Genomic DNA, 22,205 nt, shown 5'->3' on the forward strand with positions numbered 1-22,205 from the left:
TGTGTTACAAGTATCCAGTGCTGTTGATATCTACTAGGTAATCAGAAAATATCTGTTGGACAGATGAAGAGGAAGTGAATGGAGTTCCACATTCCAGTTAAATGTGATGAATGTATATTTACTTTTACTCCTTCCCAAAACCACACTAAAATGACAAAGAGATTTAAAAAACAAGTCTAGACGGGTTGATAGGTGCAGCAAACCACCATGGCACATGTATACCTATGTAACAAACCTGCATGTTCCGCACATGTATCCCAGAACTTAAAGTAAAATAAGAAAAAAATAAAAAAATAAGAAAAAAAAACAAGTCTAAGTCAACAAAGACACATAGATTAAAACAGCATAGCCTTGATCTCTGCGATTTGTAAATGCAACCAATATACCTCGTATTGGTTATCACCTGCTGCATAACCAACCACCCCAAAGCCTAATGGCTTAAAATAAAAATCATTTTACTTGCTCATAATGGTGTGAGTCAGTCATTTGGGCTAGGCTCAGGTAGGTGGGTCTACTGTTGGTATTAAATGAGTTCATTCATTTGCAGTCAGCTGGTAGCTGGTATGACAGGTCTGGGTTCTGCTGGGATGGTTTGGCTTCTCTCCATGTGTTCTCTCACCTTCCAGGAGTCTAGCCATTGATTCTTCACTTGGTGGGCTCAGGGTTCCTAGCAGTCAGAGAGTAAATCCCAATGCAGAAGCCTCTACCTGCTTCCCATTTGCTAATTCAATGTGGGAGAGAGCTACGCAAGGTTGTAGATAACTTGATTCACTGAGGGAATTGCTACAACAATCTACCACAACCTCTGAAGCACATTTACCAATGTTACCATCTTTTTCAATTAAGACAACTACATCTCTGTTGTCTCTTGTTGATAGAAATGCTTTCCAGCAGTGCTGATAGAGTCAAAGATAGGTCAAAAGAGATAAAAACAAGTGGGTAAGTGAAACTGTCTTAGCAGACCAGAGAAAAAGAAAACTAAAGTCTGAAATGGAGGAAGCCAAGAAGGAAGTTAGTTCATGCAATAGAAGCCTAGAGATTCAGATATTGAAGGCAGGAAGTACATCTGAAATTCAGTGTGTAGGTGAGGCTAAAAGGAGAATGAGCTGCAAGTTTGTGTAAAAGGCATATCTTAACTTCTATATCTTTTCTCCTGCCCTAAACAATCAAGTAAATACTCTTGCTATACCCCAGAGCCTGGAGGTACACTCTGTGGAGGTGCTGAATCATAAGGACTCTTCTGGATATCAGGCACTGCTAAATGCAAGGGCACCATACTGCAAACAGGGGAATTACACACTTGACAGTAAGAAAACAATGGTAAAAAACTTACATGATTCCACAACTGGCTAACAGGAATTCCTGAAAGAAAGAACAGAGAAAAAAGATATGAAGAAATGATCAAAGACTTCAATAAAATTTCCCAGAAATGAGTTTGTAGACTGAAAAGACTTACTAACTACCTTGCAGAATGAATTTTTTTTAAAAAACAGAGAAAAAACAGAACTAAGGTAAATTATTGTGATTTCAGGATAACGGAGATAAAGAGATATATCCTAAAAGCAGCCAGAAAGAAAAGATCAAACAAACAAAAATCAACAAAAATAAGTCATATACAAAGGTTCAGACATCCATATGGCATCAGACTTAATGGCCACAATGGATGCTAGAAAATAATGGAGTAATGCCTTCAAAATAATGAGGGAAATGATCTCCATATTCAGCCAAACTATAATTGTGATGGTAGGCTAAGGATATTTCAGATATTAAAGATCTGAAACAGTCTATCTTACATGGATCCTTCCTTAGGAAGTTACTGAAGGGACAAAAATTAGGAAGACATAGAAACCAGAAAACAGAGTGTGCCTGTTATCTTGTCTTGCAGCTGCAAACCCACAATTCCATACTCTGCTACATGATTCTGGGGCTCAGACTCCAAAAATCACTCTTCACCTTGGCCAGCTGACTCCCTGTTAATCTCTGCTAGTGGGGGAGCAGGGTTGCTAGAGGGAGACTGGAGGACTGGGGAAGGAAGAAGGGACTTATTCCTTACTGTTTGCTTGCTGTTCTCTTGCAGTTCCTGAGAGCATCACACTGGCAACACTTCTTCCCCCTGGCAGCAAAAGTTCCTTCTTGTAGCAACTGTTAATCCAGTTGACAGTTTTCCCAACACTTTCAAGATCAGCCTCCTATGCCCCTCAGAGATACCAGCACCAGCTAAGCCACCTCTCACCCTCTGGTCTGTTAAAATAACTGGCATCATTTCTGAAGCCTGACTGATATACAGGAGATCCAATACAAGATGAAAACAAGAACTCAAAGGGTGAGGGTGGAAGGACATCCTGGGACAATAATTATGTACCAGACTAGTAGATTGCTTAAATTGATAGCCCCAGTTGGTGACCTTCCTGTATCTATATTATTTGTAAAGTGACTTTTCAGATTCTTCCATCAAGACATGGAGTCTATTTTTGTACCTCTTGAATCTTGGCTGGCCTTGTGACTCGTTTAGCCAGTACAAAGTGATAGAAGTCACAGTGAACCATTCTAATCCTGGCCTCAACAGGCTTTACATATTTCCTTTCTCTCAGATCCTTGCCTCCACCACTGAGCCTGGGCTAACCTGCTAGAAGGATAAGAAATCATACTATCCAATAGCCACCCACCAACCTCCTGCCCCAAGCACAGCTACTTAACTAAGCTGCAATTAACTGCAGATGTCTGAAGGAGTCCTGCCAAGACCAGGAGGACCATTCAGTTGTGCTCAGTCCCAATTGCCAACCTGAAGAATTGTGAACTAAATAAATGAACTGAATAAATAACTGATTGTTGTTTTTTACTGCTAAATCCTAGGGTAGTTTGTTTTACTGAAATAGCTGATACACAGGCCTAGAGAATAATGAGTTCACATTGGAGCAGAGGAGTTGGAGGCTTGCAGATGGAGATCTTCAAGAAAAAAAGTGGTATCGTTAGATAAGCTAATATGTTTCAATATATTGACAAGAATATTTACATTTCTAGTGAAGATTAAGAAATGATTTACTTTTAGATTCATAGAAAGCAAGGCAATTTGTTATCCAAAACGTTGTACAAGAATGAGAATGAAATCATAATGTTTTGAATGTCTCATCTATGAATAACAGTCACATGGTCATAATAAAGCAAACAATTGATATTGTTTTAACTCCAATTTATGATAGATAAGGACATTGGAAGGCTCAGAGGAGAGGGCTTGTGTGTACATGTATGATGGAGGGGTAGGTGGTGAAATGGAAGAAACCCAAATCCTACTTTCCGTAGTTAGAAGTCAAGAAATAGCAGAACAATCATGTTAATTAGAAGCGTGGAGAAAAGCATCAGAAGAAACAGCCGAAATATTCAGTAGATGCTTCTATGGAGTCGTAATTGTTAGTGGAGTAAACTGGGGCAAAGGACAGTGCCTTTTTATTTATTTATTTATTTATTTATTTATTTTGAGGCAGAGTCTTGCCCTGTTGTCCAGGCTGGAGTGCAGTGGTGTGATCATAATTTGACAGTGGTTTCTCATTGCAAGCATTGTGAAACGATTCGATGTGACATATGTATGTGTATAACAGAAATAATATTCAAGTTAAAAAATGAATGGGCCAGGTGTGGTGGCTCACTCCTGTAATCCCCGTACTTTAGGAGGCCAAGGGGGGAGGATCACTTGAGCCCAAAGTTTCTAGACAAGCCTGGGAAACCAAGTGAGACCCCGTCTCTACAAAAAATTAGCCAGTGTAGTGGCACACACCTGTAGTCCCAGCTGAGGTGGGAGCCTGGGAGGCAGAGGTTGCAGTGAGCCGAGATTGTGCCATTGCACTCCAGCCTGGGTAACAGAGTGAGACCCTGTCTCAAAAAAAAAAAAAAAAAAAAAAAGGAAAGAAAAAAAAAGAAAAGAAAAAGAATACACTGTATGGATTTTCTTCCATAGTAGTTGCCACTTAACTTGCCCCTTGGTGGTTTCAGCAACCACGCCTTTTGATGATACTGTTTTTACTAATGGAAATGCAGACAGTATTCATCAGTAATTTTCATCAGGCTGCTAGGGCCTCGCTCCCAAACCCAATCATTGAGTCTTTGATTCTACCTCCTAAAAATGGTGATCTACCCCTTTCCATCACCATGCCACTATAAGAGCTCAAGACACCAGCATCCTGTACCTGTACCTCTGCAGCATCTTCTCAATGACTTTCTTCCCTCTCATCTTCCTAGTACCCTTCAAATGTTCTTCACAGAGCTGCCAGAATGAGCCTTCTAAACAAGTCACCTCAGGTCATTACCATATCTAAAATCCTTTATTGATTTCCCTTTGTCTTTAGAACACAGTATAAACTCCTTAGGCACAGCTTTTCATGCTCTGGGATCTCCAACCCCTTCCAGCCTCATCTATTGCCATCTGTCAAGCTAGTCTCCAGCCATACTCAGCATCTTTCCACTCTTAATTTTGTCATGCTCTGGTTTTCTGCCAAGCTTTTGCATGTGTGATTCCCTCTTCCTAGAACATGATTCTCTTTTCTGGCAGGCATTGTAGGCAACAAGCCTACTCAAAATTCAGTCTTTCCTTTCTATTTGCCAACAGAATCCTGGAAATCTCTTAGTCCCAAGGAAAGTAGGTGCAGACCCTGGTCTAGAAGTGACATATAGTCCAGTTCTAGCTCATGATTTTTTAAAGGAAGTTGTTTCGTGACATCTTGAGAGATTTCTCCTTCTTTACAAGAAGAAGATATGTAAGCAAAAACTTTCAGCCCCATACTCCCCTCACTTTCTCCCCTAGAAATTGATTACGAGACCTGCACCTGTCACAGACCAATAAGAGAAAGGAAAGTGATGTTGACCAGAAGTCTGACTTCCTAGATCCCCTGGACCAATGCTAGAAACCACTTACTGCCAGACATTTTGTTACGTAGAAAAACAATCCTCTCTTTGTTTATGTCACTGTTGGCTGGGTTTCTGTTACTTGCAGCTGAAAGCATTTACACTAGATACAACCACACTTCCCAAGCTAAATCCTGTTTGATCTGCCGGACTCAGCAAAGTTACCACCTGGACCAGATTAGAGAACACGCTTCCCCAACCCTGGGTACCTGGAGCTTTTTAAATTATAGTATAATGGCTAAAAGTGCCATATCTAAAGCCATACTGCCTAGGTTCATAGCCCAGCTACCAACAAGTTGGTGACCTTGGGCAAGTTGTATATTTGCTCTCTGCCTCAGTTTTCTCATCTTTTAAATGGAGATAAGAATATTACCAACCTTATCTAATTGTCATAGGGATTCAGTGAGTTAATGCATGAAATGTACTTTGTACCTGGCTCCTAGTAATCATTCAATTAATGTTTATTGTTGTTAACACAAGCTTCCTCACAGTCTTATCACAATAGCCTATTAGTCCTTTTCCCTGATAGGTCAAAAACTTAATGAAAGCAGAGGCTGCATCTATTTTATTGCTCTGTCCTCAGGAATACCTGGCCTAGAGATATGCCCAGTAAATGTTTACTGAGTGAATAAAAATATTATCACATACTGTGAACAGTATATGAAAAGCAAAACAAGTCAAACATTAACCCAGTTGAAAAGGCTTTTTATTTTTTTTCCCCCACGTGAAACCAGTGAAGGGAGTTAAAAAATCAGCAACTTAGTTCTAGAAGGCTGCTGCAGGAGAAATTCTCATTGATGGCTCAAAGGACAAAATATCCAGGTGCTTTACTAGCCCCCAGGATAGTGAGATTCAGTCAATCAAGAAAATTACCTAAGCAGCCAAAAGATATTCTTAGAGTCAGTGTTGGGCCAATTGTTCATAAGCATTTTACCTTTGCCTTGTCCAAGTTTGCCTTCTAAAGATAGAGTCTGTAATCAAAGATAGGTTGTGGAAAATAACAATGAATCAAAGTGCACCAATTTGAGATAACCATACCTCTATTATCTTTCTTGTTTCATTTTGATTCACAGTGCTTTTTCTTGCCACTGACAGCCAGTGGGGCAACTCCCACTCTCAGATTTTTCTTCTTTTTCTCTTTCTCTCTCTCTTTTTTTTTTTGATCTTGTTGCATACCAACCACTCTCTGTCTTTCAACTCATCTTTATCCCTTACTTAGTTGGAGCTTTATGATAAAGTTATTTTTTGGTGTGTGTGTGCATGTGTGTGTGTCCAAGAAAGTAGGGAAGAAAAAAATCCAGCTGAAGGATGGTTGCATACAAGTATCTTCTGGTGAGTGAGCAGTTTTATTCTCTCATGTCTGACAGGTAAGACAGGGCACAGTGCTCTTTGGGTCTTCAGAAAGCTTCTACCATCGATCTTCATGATAATTTATGATATCTCTTTCTTTTTCTTTCACCTTGAGCAATTATGGCATCTTTCTTTGCAGAAGCTCAGTAATTGGAAAACTGGTTTACAAATCTGGTAACTTTTTCTTCTTTAAAGACTTTTTTCTTATCACATACAGAGCAAAGAGAAAGAAAAAAGTATACATTGTAGTGAAACCTAGAAGGCCAAAAATCGAGTGTATCTAATATTCCCACTTTTACCTTTTAAGAAAAACTTGAAGAAGGGCACAGGAATTTGATCATTTGGATAACTCAGGGCTAAAACCAGATTAGTGATTTTCTTTTAAAAACGTATTTTAGGCCAGGTATATTGGCTCATGCATGCCTGTAATCCCAGCACTTTGGGAAACCAAGGTGGGAGGATAGTTTGTGTATTGTTCCTGGGTGTGTCCATGAGGGTGTTGCCAAAGGAGATTAACATTTGAGTCAGTGGACTGGGAGAGATACACCCACCCTCGACCTGGGTGGGGAGCATCTAATCAGCTGCCAGCATGGCTAGAATAAAGCAGGCAGAAAAAAGTGAAATGAGTAGACTCACTGAGTCTTCCGGCCTTCATCTTTCTCCTGTGCTGGAGGCTTCCTGCCCTCGAACATCAGACTCCAAGTTCCTCAGCTTTTGGACTCCTGGATTGGCATTACTCTGCGTTGCAAAGCTCAGGCAAAGAGTGGCAGAAGGGTGGCATGTTTAAATTCTGTAGTATTTAGAATCATTCGCCAGTGATTTGCCAGGGCCTCTCAGGCCTTTGGCCACAGATTGTGTCCAGGTTTCCGAGACTAGCTTAGGCAACATAGTGAGACTCTGTCTCTACAAAAAGTTTAAAAAAATTAGCTGGGCATGGTGGTGCATGTCAGTAGTCCCAGTTACTTGAGAGACTAAGGTGGAAGGAATGCTTGAGCCCCGGAGGTCCAGGCTGCAGCAAGACATGATTGTGCCACTGCACTCCAGCCTGGGCAGCAGAGCAATATCCTGTCTAAAAAAAAAAAAAAAAAAAACAAAAAAAAAAACGTATTTTTAAAGACTTATAGCCTCTGCATTGATTTTAAACTATATTTGCAAGAGGGCATCAGCTCCAAGGATTACTTCATAACCAAGAGAAAATAATAACAGTAATACTGGCAACAGCTCACATTTATCAAGGATTATACTAAGCGCATTACTTCATTCACTCCCAACAAATCCATGAGGTAGATTCTATTATTATCTCATTTTCCAAAAATGTAACTAAAGCTTACAGAGATTAAAAGCCATTTGCTAGAGATCATGGAGCTAGTAACTGGAGCTAAGAACCCAAACTAGGTCTAACTCCAAAGCCTGTGCTCTAAACAATGGTGCAAACTCACCCAACATGTTTGACCAGCAGGAGAATCACCTTAAGAGGTTATCTGGACCCATTTCAAAACTGCCTCCAGCTTTCTCAGGGTTTCTTCCATCTAAGTGCTCCTGATTTGAGACCTGGTATTGATCAAAGACATAGCTACAAAGAGTTTAGGCAGGAGGTGCAATGTACAGTTGACATATGTACTTTGCTTGCTCCAGAAGTATTTTTAAATACAGTGTAATTAGGCAGGTATTATACTTTTCAGCACTTGTTTCAGGGATGCTTCATATATTAATCTTGCCTACCTGGCCACTATGGGCCTTTCAATGTGTCATGCCTATTTCATTCAGAGCTGGAAGGAGATTCAAGAAATTATTTAGTCTGACGCTTTCATTTCATTGGTTTTTGTTTGTTGGCTTATTTCTATGTTATACTATTGTTGCCTTGTGCATTTTATGTCTGAGTGTCTATGTATCAGCTAGCTTTCTCCAAATTATGTTTTGGTAACAAACAATCCCCCAATCTTAGTGGTTTAAAACAATAAAGTTTTATTTCTTGCTTAGATTATGTATTAGTCAGGGTTCCCTAGAGGGACAGAACTATTAGGATAGATGTATATATGAAGGGGAGTTTGTCAGGCCTCTGAGCCGAGGCCAGGCCATGGCATCCCCTGTGACTTGCACGTATACATCCAGATGGCCTGAAGTAAATGAAGATCCACAAAAGAAGTAAAAACAGCCTTAACTGATGACATTCCACCATTGTGATTTGTTCCTGCCCCACCCTAACTGATCAATGTACTTTGTAATCTCCCCCACCCTTAAGAAGTTCTTTGTAATTCTCCCCACTCTTGAGAATGTACTTTGTGAGATGCAACCCTGCCCACCAGAGAACAACCCCCTTTGACTGTAATTTTCCATTACCTTCCCAAATCCTATAAAACGGCCCCACCCCTATCTCCCTTCGCTGACTCTCTTTTCGGACTCAGCCCGCCTGCACCCAGGTGAAATAAACAGCCATGTTGCTCACACAAAGCCTGTTTGGTGGTCTCTTCACACGGACACGTATGAAACTTGGTGCCGTGACTCGGATCGGGGGACCTCCCTTGGGAGATCAATCCCCTGTCCTCCTGCTCTTTGCTCCATAAGAAACATCCACCTACGACCTCAGGTCCTCAGACCGACCAGCCCAAGAAACATCTCACCAATTTCAAATCCGGTAAGCGGCGTCTTTTTACCCTCTTCTCCAACCTCCCTCACTATCCCTCCACCTCTTTCTCCTTTCAATCTTGGCCCCACACTTCAATCTCTCCCTTCTCTTAATTTCAATTCCTTTCATTTTCTGGTAGAGACAAAAGAGACATGTTTTATCCGTGAACCCAAAACTCTGGCGCCGGTCACGGACTGGGAAGGCAGCCTTCCCTTGGTGTTTAATCATTGCAGGGACACCTCTCTGATTATACACTCACCTTTCAAAGGTGTCAGACCACGCAGGGACGCCTGCCTTGGTCCTTCACCCTTAGCGGCAAGTCCTGCTTTCCTGGGGCAGGGGCAAGTACCCCTCAACCCTTTCTCCTTCACCCTTAGTGGCAAGTCCCACTTTCCTAGGGGGCAAGAAACCCCCAATCCTTATTTCCGCACCCCAACCTCTTATCTCTGTGCCTCAATCCCTTATTTCCGCACCCTGACCTCTTATCTCTGTGCTTCAATCCCTTATTTCCATGCCCCAACCCCTTCTCTGCTTTTCTGGAGGGTAAGAACCCCCTACCCCTTCTCTGTGTCTCTACTCTTTTTTCTGGGCTTGCCTCCTTCACTATGGGTAAGCTTCCACCTTCCATTCCTCCTTCTTCTCCCTTAGCCTGTGTTCTCAAAAACTTAAAACCTCTTCAACTCACACCTGACCTAAAACCTAAATGCCTTATTTTCTTCTACAATGCTGCTTGACCCCAATACAAACTCAACAGTGGTTCCAAATAGCCGGAAAACGGCACTTTCAATTTTTCCATCCTACAAGATCTAAATAATTCTTGTCATAAAATGGGCAAATGGTCTGAGGTGCCTGACTTCCAGGCATTCTTTTACACATCAGTCCCTTCCTAGTCTCTGTGCCCAGTGCAACTCGTCCCAAATCTTCCTTCTTTCCCTCCCGCCTGTCCCCTCAGTCCCAACCCCAAGTGTCGCTGAGTCTTTCTAATCTTCCTTTTCTACAGACCCATCTGACCTCTCCCCTCCTCGCCAGGCCGAGCTAGGTTCCAATACTTCCTCAGCCTCTACTCCTCCACCCTATAATCCTTCTATCACCTCCCCTCCTCACACCTGGTCTGGCTTACAGTTTCATTCTGTGACTAGCCCTCCCCCACCTGCCCAGCAATTTATTCTTAAAATGGTGGCTGGAGCTAAAGGCATAGTCAAGGTTAATGCTCCTTTTACTTTATCCCAAATCAGATAGCGTTTAGGCTCTTTTTCATCAAATATAAAAACCCAGCCCAGTTCATGGCTCGTTCTGCAGCAACCCTGAGACGCTTTACAGCCCTAGACCCTAAAAGGTCAAAAGGCCATCTTATCCTCAATATACATTTTATTACCCAATCTGCTCCCGACATTAAATAAAACTCCAAAAATTAAATTCTGGCCCTCAAACCCCACAACAGCATTTAATTAACCTTGCCTTCAAGGGTACAATAATAGAAAAAAGTTGCAATTCCTTGCCTCCACTGTGAGACAAACCCCAGCCACATCTCCAGCACACAAGAACTTCCAAACGCCTGAACCGCAGTGGCCAGGCATTCCTCCAGAACCTCCTCCCACAGGAGCTTGCTACACGTGCCGGAAATCTGACCACTGGGCCAAGGAATGCTCGCAGCCTGGGATTCCTCCTAAGCCATGTCCCATCTCTGTGGGACCCCACTGAAAATCGGAGTGTTCAACTCACCTGGCAGCCACTCCCAGAGCCCCTGGAACTCTGGCCCAAGGCTCTCTGACTGACTCCTTCCCAGATCTTCTTGGCTTGGCGGCTGAAGACTGACACTGCCCGATCGCCTCGGAAGCCCCCTAGACCATCACCGACGCCAAGCTTCGGATAGCTCTCACAGTGGAAGGTAAGCCCATCCCCTTCTTAATCAATGCGGAGGCTACTCACTCCACATTACCTGCTTTTCAAGGGCCTGTTTCCCTTGCCTCCATAACTGTTGTGGGTATTGACGGCCAGGCTTCTAAACCTCTTAAAACTCCCCAACTCTGGTGCCAACTTAGACAACACTCTTTTAAGCACTCCTTTTTAGTTATCCCCACCTGCCCAGTTCCCTTATTAGGCTGAGACACTTTAACTAAATTATCTGCTTCCCTGACTATCCTGGACTACAGCTATATTTCATTGCCGCCCTTCTTCCCAATCCAAAGCCTCCTTTGCGTCCTCCTCTTGTATCCCCCCACCTTCACCCACAAGTATAAGATACCTCCACTCCCTCCTTGGCGACCGATCATGCACCCCTTACCATCTCATTAAAACCTAATCACCCTTACCCCACTCAATGCCAATATCCCATCCCGCAGCACGCTTTAAAAAGATTAAAGCCTGTTATTACTTGCCTGCTACAGCATGGCCTTTTAAAGCCTATAAACTCTCCTTACAATTCCCTCATTTTACCTGTCCTAAAACCAGACAAGCCTTACAAGTTAGTTCAGGATCTGCGCCTTATCAACCAAATTGTTTTGCCTATCCACCCGGTGGTGCCAAAACCATATACTCTCCTATCCTCAATACCTGCCTCTATAACCCATTATTCTGTCCTAGATCTCAAACATGCTTTCTTTACTATTCCCTTGCACCCTTAATCCCAGCCTCTCTTCGCTTTCACTTGGACTGACCCTGACACCCACCAAGCTCAGCAAATTACCTAGGCTGTACTGCTGCAGAGCTTCACAGACAGCCCCCATTACTTCAGTCAAGCCCAAATTTCTTCCTCATCTGTTACCTATCTCGGCATAATTCTCATAAAAACACACGTGCTCTCCCTGCCAATCGTGTCCGACTGATCTCTCAAACCCAAGCACCTTCTACAAAACAACAACTCCTTTCCTTCCTAGGCATGGTTAGTGTGGTCAGAATTCTTACACAAGAGCCAGGACCACACCGTGTAGCCTTTCTGTCCAGACAACTTGACCTTACTGTTTTAGCCTAGCCCTCATGTCTGTGTGCAGCGGCTGCCGCTGCTTTAATACTGTTAGAGGCCCTAAAAATCACAGACTATGCTCAACTCACTCTCTACAGCTCTCATAATTTCCAAAATCTATTTTCTTCCTCACACCTGACATATATACTTTCTGCTCCCCGGCTCCTTCAGCTATACTCACTCTTTGTTGAGTCTCCCACAATTACCATTGTTCCTGGCCGGGACTTCAATCCGGCCTCCCACATTATTCCGGATACCACACCTGACCCTCATGACTGCATCTCTCTGATCCACCTGATATTCACCCCATTTCCCCATATTTCCTTCTTTCCTGTTCCTCACCCTGATCACGCTAGCCTCGTGCTATCCCCAAACTGCCATTCTTAACTCTTGAAGTAAATAAATAATCTTTGCTGGCAGGGCTATGCTGAATCTCCTTAGGCACTCTCTAATCAGATGTCCTGAGTCGTCCTAATTCTTAGACCTTTTATACCTGTTTTCCTCCTTCTCTTATTCCATTTAGTTTTTCAATTCATACAAAACCATATCCAGGCCATCACCAATAATTCTACACAACAAATGTTTCTTCTAACAACCCCACAATATCACCTCTTACCACAAGACCTCCCTTCAGCTTAATCTCTCCCACTTTAGGTTCCCACGCCGCCCCTAATCCCGCTTGAAGCAGCCCTGAGAAACATCGCCCATTCTCTCTCCATACCACCCCCCAAAAACTTCCGCCGCTCCAACACTTCAACACTATTTTGTTTTATTTGTCTTATTAATATAACAAGGCAGGAATGTCAGGCCTCTGAGCCTAGGCCAGGCCATCGCATCCCCTGTGACTTGCACGTATACATCCAGATGGCCTGAAGTAACTGAAGATCCACAAAAGAAGTAAAAACAGCCTTAACTGATGACATTCCACCATTGTGATTTGTTTCTGCCCCACCCTAACTGATCAATGTACTTTGTAATCTCCCCCACCCTTAAGAAGGTTCTTTGTAATTCTCCCCACTCTTGAGAATGTACTTTGTGAGATGCACCCCTGCCCACCAGAGAACAACCCCCTTTGACCGTAATTTTCCATTACCTTCCCAAATCCTATAAAATGGCCCCACCCCTATCTCCCTTCGCTGACTCTCTTTTCGGACTCAGCCCGCCTGCACCCAGGTGAAATAAACAGCCATGTTGCTCACACAAAGCCTGTTTGGTGGTCTGTTCACATGGACGCGCATGAAAGAGTTTATTAAGGAGTACTGGCCCACACAATCACAAGGTGAAGTTCCTCAATAGGCTGTCTGCAAGCTGAGGAGCAAGGAAGCCATTCCAAGTCCCCAAACCTCAAAAGTAGGGAAGTTGACACTATAGCCTTCAGTCTGTGGCCAAAGGTCTGAGGGCCCCTGGCAAATCACTGGCGAATGATTCTAAATACACAGAATTTAAACATGCCACCCTTCTACCACTCTTTGCCTGAGCTTTGCAACGCAGGGTCATACCAATCCAGGAGTCCAAAAGCTGAGGAACTTGGAGTCTGATGTTCGAGGGCAGGAAGCCTTCAGCACAGGAGAAAGATGAAGGCCGGAAGACTCAGCGAGTCTGCTCATTTCACTTTCTTCTGCCTGGTTTATTCTAGCCATGCTGGCAGCTGATTAGATGCTCCCCACCCAGGTCGAGGGTGGGTGTATCTCTCCTAGTCCACTGACTCAAATGTTAATCTCCTTTGGTGTTAATCACCCTCACAGACACACCCAGGAACAAAACTTTGCATCCTTCAATCCAATCAAGTTGACACTCAATATTAACCATCACAGATTATAAACGTCCTTTGGGAATTGGCCATGACTGTGTTCTATGACCTCTTCACTTGGGGATATAGGATAAAGGGAACAGCTTCTCTATAGGATATGCTGTTCTCATGGCAGAAGGAAAAGAGAGACAGAAGAACCATTTGATGCCTTTAAGAATTCTGCTTGGAAGTAATGTATCACTTCCACTTACACTTTATTGAGTAAAGCAAGTCACATGGCCAAGCATGATGTCAATTGTGTGTAAAGTATCATTTTCTATAAGTGAGAAGGGCCAGCTAAGAGTTGGAAAAAAAAAAAAGTCTTAATCTACTTCCTTCTAGTCTTTTCATAAAAAGAATATTATTTTTCCTGTCGAATTAATATATGTCTACTACAAAAAGTTCAGAAATACAGAAAATGTAAAGAGATAAAACAAAATTCAGCCCACCTCTTACCTTCATAGGCACTAATTGTTAATATTCACACCAGTTCCTTCCAGTCCTTGTTCTAATCACTTTATTTTTTTAATTTTTTATTTTTTTGAGACGGAGTCTTACTCCTCACCCAGGCTGGAGTGCAATGGTGCAATCTCGGCTCACCGCAACCAATGCCTCCTTGGGTGCAAGGGATTCTCCTGCCTCAGCCTCCTGAGTAGCTGGGATTACAGGCACCCAACACCACGCCTGGCTAATTTTTTTAATTTTTAGTAGAGAGGGGGTTTCACCATGTTATCTAGGCTGGTCTTGAACTCCTGACCTCAGGTGATCCGCCCACCTCAGCCTCCCAAAGTGCTGAGATTACAGGTGTGAGCCACTGCACCCAGTGTTTTTTTTTTTTTTTTTTAACAGAATAAGATCATACTGTAAGTTTTTGTTGCCTAACACTGAATCTTAAGTACTTTCCTATATTCTTAAGAACGGCTTTATAGAGCCATTGCAGTACATTGAGCTCCATAGAGACAGCACCGGGGAAAGTGAGAGTTTCAGTCAACTTCTCAGAGTTTTCTAAGAAGTGCTCAGAGAGGTGGAAGAACATGTCTGCTAAAGAGAAAGGAAAATTTGGCCGGGCGCGGTGGCTCACACCTGTAATCCCAGCACTTTGGGAGGCTGAGGCGGGTGGATCACGGTCAGGAGATCAAGACCATCCTGGCTAACACGGTGAAACCCCGTCTCTACTAAAAAAAACCCAAAAAATTAGCCGGTCGTGGTGGCGGGCTCCTGTAGGCCCAGCTACTCAGGAGGCTGAGACAGGAGAATGGCGTAAACCTGGGAGGTGGAGCTTGCAGTGAGCGGAGATCGCACCACTGCACTCCAGCCTGGGCAACAGAGCCAGACTCTGTCCCCCCACCCCCCACCCCCCAAAAAGAGAGGAAAATTTGAAGATATGGCAAAGGCGGACAAGGCCCATTATAAGAGAGAAATGAAAACCTATATCCCTCCCAAAGGGGAGACAAAAAAGAAGTTCAAGGATCCCAATGCGCCCAAGAGGCCTCCTTCAGCCTTCTTCCTGTACTTCTCTGAGTATGGCCCAAAAATCAAAGGAGAACGTCCTGGCCTGTCCTTTGGTGATGTTGCGAAGAAGCTGGGAGAGATGTGGAATAACACTGCTGCAGATGACAAGCAGCCTTATGAAAAGAGGTCGGCGAAGCTGAAAGAAAAATACGAAAAGGATATTGCTGCATATCGAGCTAAAGGAAAGCATGATGCTGCAAACAATGGAGTTGTCAAGGCTGCAAAAAGCAAGAAAAAGAAGGAAGAGGAGGAAAATGAGGAAGATGAAGAGGATGAGGAGGAGGAGAAAGATGAAGATGAAGATGAAGAAGATGATGAAGATGAAGAAGATGGTGATGATGAACAAGTTGGTTCTAGTGCAGTTTTTCTTTTGTCTATAAAGCATTTAATCCCCCTGTACACAACTCACTCCTTTTAAAGACAAAAACTGAAATGTAAGGGTGTGTAAGATTTGTTTTTAAATTGTACAGTGTCTTTTTTTGTATAGTTAACACACTACCGAATGTGTCTTTAGATAGCCCTGTCCTGGTGGTATTTTCAATAACAACTAACCTTGCCTGTTATAGTATGCGGGTTGCAAATTGGCATGGAAATTTAAAGCAGGTTCTTGTTGGTGCACAGCATAAATTAGTTATATATGGGGATATCAATGAGACAGAAAGTTAAAAAGGATATCCAGGAATTGAACTCAGCTCTGCACCAAGTGGACCTAATAGACATCTACAGAACTCTGCACCCCAAATCAACAGAATATACCTTCTTCTCAGAACCACATTGTACTTATTCCAAAATTCACCACATAGTTGGAAGTAAAGCACTCCTCAGCAAATGTAAAAGAACAGAAATTATAACACACTGTCTCTCAGACCACAGTGCAATCAAACTAGAACTCAGGATTAAGAAACTCACTCAAAACCGCTCAACTACATGGGAACTGAACAACCTGTTCCTGAATGACTACTGGGTACCTAACGAAATGAGGACAGAAATAAAGATGTTCTTTGAAACCAATGAGAACAAAGACACAACATATCAGAATCTCTGGGACACATTTAAAGCAGCGTGTTGAGGGAAATTTATAGCACTAAATGCCTACAAGAGAAAGCAGGAAAGATCTAAAGTTGACACCCTAAAATCACAATTAAAAGAACTAAAGAAGCAAGAGCAAACACATTTAAAAGCCAGCAGAAGGCAAGAAATAACTAAGACCAGAGCAAAACTGAAGGAGATAGAGACATAAAAAACCCTTCAAAAAATCCAGGAGCTGGTTTTTTTAAAAGATCAACAAAATTGATAGACCGCTAGCAAGACTAATAAAGAAGAAAAGAGAGAAGAATCAAATAGATGCAATAAAAAATGATAAAGGGGATATCACCACTGATCCCACAGAAATACAAACTACCATAAGAGAATACTACAAACACCTCTATGCAAATAAACTAGAAAATCCAGAAGAAATGGATAAATTCCTCGACACATACACCATCCCAAGACTAAACCAGGAAGAAGTTGAATCCCTGAATAGACCAATAACAGGCTCTGAAATTGAGGCAATAATTAATAGCCTACCAACCAAAAAAAGTCCAGGACTGGATGGATTCACAGCCAAATTCTACTAGACGTACAAGGAGGAGCTGGTACCATTCCTTCTGAAATTATTCCAATCAGTAGAAAAAGACGGAATCCTCCCTAACTCATTTTATGGGGCCAGCATCATCCTGATACCAAAGCCTGGCAGAGACACAAAAAAAGAGAATTTTAGACAAATATCCTTGATGAACATCGATGCAAAAATCCTCAATAAAATACTGGCAAACCGAATCCAGCAGCACATCAAAAAGCTTATCCACCATGATCAAGTGGGCTTCATCCCTGGGATGCAAGGCTGGTTCAACATACGCAAATCAATAAACATAATCCAGCATATAAACAGATCCAAAGACAAAAACCACATGATTATCTCAATAGATGCAGAAAAGGCCTGTGACAAAATTCAACAGCCCTTCGTGCTAAAAACTCTCAATAAATTAGGTATTGATTGGACGTATCTCAAAATAATAACAGCTATTTATGACAAACCCAAAACCAGTATCATACTGAATGGGCAAAAACTGGAAGCATTCCCTTTGAAAAGTGGCACAAGACAGGGATGCCCTCTCTCACCACTCCTATTCAACACAGTGTTGGAAGTTCTGGCCAGGGCAATCAGGCAGGAGAAAGAAATAAAGGGTATTCAATTAGGAAAAGAGGAAGTCAAATTTTCCCTGTTTGCAGATGACATGATTATATATTTAGAAAACCCCATCGTCTCAGCCCAAAATCTCCTTAAGCTGATAAGCAACGTCAGCAAAGTCTCAGGATACAAAATCAATGTGCAAAAATCACAAGCATTCTTATACACCAATAACAGACAGAGAGCCAAATCATGAGTGAACTCCCATTCACAATTGCTTCAAAGAGAATAAAATACCTAGGAATCCAGCTTACAAGGGATGTGAAAGACCTCTTCAAGGAGAACTACAAACCACTGCTCAATGAAATAAAAGAGGATACAAACAAATGGAAGAACATTCCATGCTCATGGATAGAAAGAATCAATATCATGAAAATGACCAACTGCCCAAGGTAATTTATAGATTTAATGCCATCCCCATCAAGCTACCAATGACTTTCTTCACAGAATTGGAAAAAGCTACTTTCAAGTTCATATGGAACCAAAAAAGAGCCCTCATTGCCAAGTCAACCCTAAGCCAAGAGAACAAAGCTGGAGACATCACGCTACCTGACTTCAAACTATACTACAAGGCTACAGTAACCAAAACAGCATGGTACTGTTACCAAAACAGAGATATAGACCAATGGAACAGAACAGAGCCCTCAGAAATAATACCACACATCTACAACCATCTGATCTTTGACAAACCTGACAAAAACAAGCAATGGGGAAAGGATTCCCTATTTAATAAATGGTGCTGGGAAAACTGGCTAGCCATATGTAGAAAGCTGAAACTGGATCCCTTCCTTACACCTTATACAAAAATTAACTCAAGATGGATTAAAGACTTACATGTTAGACCTAAAAACATAAAAACCCTAGAAGAAAACCTAGGCAATACCATTCAGGACATAGGCATGGGCAAGGACTTCACGTCTAAAACACCAAAAGCAATGGCAACAAAAGCCAAAATTGACAAATGGGATCTAATTAAACTAAAGAGCTTCTGCACAGCAAAAGAAACTACCATCAGAGTGAACAGGCAACCTACAGAATGGGAGAAAATTGTTGCAATCTACTCATCTGACAAAGGGCTAATATCCAGAATCTACAAAGAACTCAAACAAATTTACAAGAAAAAAACAAACAACCCCATCAAAAAGTGGGCAAAGGATATGAACAGACACTTCTCAAAAGAAGACATTTATGCAGCCAACAGACACATGAAAAAATGTTTATCATGACTGGCCATCAGAGAAATGCAAATCAAAACCACAATGAGATACCATCTCACACCAGTTAGAATGGCAATCAAAAAGTCAGGAAACAACAGGTGCTGGAGAGGATGTGGAGAAATAGGAACACTTTTACACTGTTGGTGGGACTGTAAACTGGTTCAACCATTGTGGAAGACAGTGTGGCGATTCCTCAAGGATCTAGAACTAGAAATAGGATTTGACCCAGCCATCCCATTACTGGGTATATACCCAAAGGATTATAAATCATGCTGCTATAAAGACACATGCACATGTACGTTTATTGCAGCACTATTCACAATAGCAAAGACTTGGAACCAACCCACATGTCCATCAATGAAGACTGGATTAAGAAAATGTGGCACATATACACCATGGAATACTATGCAGCCATAAAAAATGATGAGTTCATGTCCTTTGTAGGGACATGGATGAAGCTGGAAACCATCGTCAGCAAACTATCGCAGGGACAAAAAAACCAAACACCGCATGTTCTCACTCATAGGTGGGAATTGAACAATGAGACCACTTGGACACAGGAAGGGGAACATCACACACTGGGGCCAGTTGTGAGGTAGGGGGAGGGGGGAGGGGTTAGAGATAGGATTAGGAGATATACCTAATGTAAATCATGAGTTAATGGGTGCAGCACACCAACATGGCACATGTATACCTATGTAACAAACCTGCATGTTGTGCACATGTACCCTAGAACTTAAAGTATAATTAAAAAAAAATGAATGGCTTTATAATACTTTATTCTAGGGCTCTACACCTTAAATTATTTGATTCCCCTAGTTTAGTCTACATTTTGTTATTATAGATGGTGTATCCTTGTGCATAAAATTGTGTTCAGATTTTAGAGTATCCTATTTGTTTGAAGAGACACCTGGAAGTTTAACTTCATTTTTCGGAGGAAAATTCAGTAGTCAAGAAAGAATGTTGCTGAAATATAATACTCGTGATCAAAAGGTGGACTATTACCAAAAGAGAATTGGAAAGAAACTACTACAGAATTTAAATATGCCAGCCTTCTACCACTCTTTGCCTGAGCTTTGCAAGGCAGGGTAACACCAATACCAGCCATCGATACGAATGTTTCCCTTCATTCCTAACCTTTTATGATAATTGAGTTCTAAAGTTTTTATTAAACAAATATGCCCTCAGGTCCTAGAGTTAATTGTAATTCCTAGTAACTGATAATATAGGATGGAAAAGACTGAAGAATATCTGGTGGTTTGGTGCCAGACCAAACTGTATGGACTTTGGTTTCACTGTGTGGAGTGTGGGGAAACAAAATCTAGATCTAAATAAATTTTAAGTTTTGCCCGAGGCATCAAGGTCTTAGCTTATTTGGAACATTAAGGACAAGATAAAACCTCTCAAGATATATTGGTCAGGGTTCTCTAGAGAAATAGAACCAATAGGATATATACGGATATTCAGAAAGAGATTTATTATGAGGAATTAGCTTGTGTGATTATGGAGGCTGAGGAGCCCCACAATCTGCCATCTGCAAGTTGGAGGCCCAGAAAAGCCAGTGGTGTAGTTCTAGTCTAAGCCTGAGGGCTTCAGAATCAGGGGAACCGATGGTGGAGGTCTCAGTTCAAGTCTAAAGGCCTGAGAACCAGTAGCTGTGACGTCTAAGGGCAGGAGAGGATGGATGGCCCAGCTCAAGAGAAAAGTTGAATTCTCTCTTCCTCCTCTCTTTTGACCTTCTATTTATTTATTTATTTATTTATTTATTTATTTATTTATTTGAGATGGAGTTTCACTCTTGTTGTCCAGGCTGGAGTGCAATGTTGTGATCTCAGCTCACCGCAACCTTCGACTCCCAGGTTCAAGTGATTCTCCTGCCCCAGCCTCCTGAGTAGCTGGGATTACAGGCATGCACCAACATGCCTGGCTAATTTTGTATTTTTAGTAGAGATGGGGTTTCGCCATGTTGGCCAGGCTGGTCTTGAACTCCTGGCCTCAGGTGATCCGCCTGCCTTGGTCTCCCAAAGTGCTGGGATTACAGGCATGAGCCACTGTGCCTGGCTGACCTTCTATTTAGACCCTCAACAAATTGGGTGATGCCCACCTACATTGGTGAGGAAAATCTTCTTCACTCAGTTTACTGATTCAAACGCTATATTAATATTTTCTGAAAACATCCTCACAAACATAACCAGAAATGATATTTTACCATCTATCTGGGCAACCCTTAGCCCAGTCAAGTTGATATATAAAATCAGCCAGGCACAGTGGCATGTACCTGTAGTCCCAGCTATTCAGGAGGCTGAGGTAGGAAGATCACTTGAACCCAAGAGTTTGAGGTCAGTCTGGTCACTGAAAAATAAATAAATAAGCATATAAACATCACAGGACAAACAATGATCATTGCAGTCCACTCCTCACTCCTATCATGTGGAACTAAGTGGTTATGTGCTAAGTTGGGAGGGGCATGACATTGGTGGGAGGGAACCTAAGACATGATTGTAATTCGTGATTTACAAAATCTTTGTGAATACCTCTTGGGACCTGTTCTGAGATGTTGCGATGGTGCTAAGGATGCCATGTAACCAATAAAAATCTCCCCAGACTTTGCCAAAGGGCTGAAGGTTTCTAACTTAAATTACATTGTCCTCCAGACCCTAAAGCTCACAGCTTTAGTTATTGGGGCGGGGTGGTGTGAGGAATGGGTCCTGGACCTCAAAACAGAGTGGCCTGCCTGAAGGTGCAGAGCTAGTCAAATGGGTCAATTGCCTCTCTTCCTCTTCTACTCACCTATGTATCCTCCCATTCCAAGTGGCTATGTTAGAGATTCCAGCCCATATAACTCTCCAGGTTCCTTAGACAACTGTCGCTCGAAACTAGTCCATGGAACATCATTGCCATAAGATCTAGGCCAGTTTCCCTAAACCAGCATAAAGCACATTTCCTTGATCTGGCACCACCTATGTTTCCAGTAAATCAGAATGTAAATGCATAGCTGTGAGAAGGGGCTACTGTGAACTCCAGAATTATAAGAAGGACTAGATTAACACATGTAACAGAAGCTACTAAGAGATAATGTGCTGGTCTGGTCATTGGGCACAGATGTCCTCACAAATGGGTCAGGCAGTGCTTTGTCTTCACTTTGGTGTTCTGGCACCAAACCACCAAGTAGAAAACTCCAGTGAGCCAGGGGGTCTCTTCCCCTAAGATATGGAGGTTTCCTTCGCCTGCTGTGTCTTTTCCCCAGTGCCCCAAAATATTAACCTTCAATCCCTTCAGTGGGACTTCATGACTCCAGGTGCCCAGGCCCTAAAAGCGAACGTGCATTTGTTGGCTTATTTAGGCCACCAAATTCCACTCCTAGATAAAGTGACCCTACAAATAACCTGAAATCTGAATCAACCAGATCTATATCCTCCTGTGGGGTTGGAGTAAAATGGAACAGTGTGGGTAGGGCTCCCATTTTTAGACTCCAATGCTTAGAAAACAGGCTGCTGCAGAATCATGAGAGCCCTGTCTACAGGCTGTCAAGTGGTTCCCATTGAAACCACTCTTGCTCTGTTGACATCTATAGTTTCTGGGTGCTCAGCCACCATTTTTCTTCTTCTAGTAAAAACACC

At 42.3% G+C, this 22,205-nt stretch overlaps 1 long non-coding RNA gene and 1 pseudogene across 1 annotated transcript, besides 1 other annotated feature; one reads left to right on the plus strand and one right to left on the minus strand.

The window, feature by feature from the left end:
• Nucleotides 1-488: 488 nt before the first annotated feature.
• LOC105376584 (uncharacterized) lies at nucleotides 489-13,419 on the minus strand. Its single transcript, XR_931105.1, has 4 exons — nucleotides 13,334-13,419; nucleotides 2,054-2,113; nucleotides 1,334-1,362; nucleotides 489-667 (listed from the first exon to the last, which is right to left on the minus strand). It is a non-coding gene; the product is annotated as an uncharacterized LOC105376584 (long non-coding RNA).
• Nucleotides 1,567-1,736: an enhancer, noted in NCBI's record as "experimental_20020 CRE fragment used in MPRA reporter constructs". NCBI's record gives its function as "activates a minimal promoter by MPRAs in K562 erythroleukemia cells, with activity observed for the introgressed 11:20582777 variant allele {active_cell/tissue: K562}" and the evidence as "EXISTENCE:reporter gene assay evidence [ECO:0000049][PMID:34662402]".
• HMGB1P40 (high mobility group box 1 pseudogene 40) lies at nucleotides 14,553-15,780 on the plus strand (annotated as a pseudogene).

The sequence above is a fragment of the Homo sapiens genome, chromosome 11, assembly GCF_000001405.40.
Source record: "Homo sapiens chromosome 11, GRCh38.p14 Primary Assembly".
Classification (NCBI taxonomy): Eukaryota; Metazoa; Chordata; class Mammalia; order Primates; family Hominidae; genus Homo; species Homo sapiens.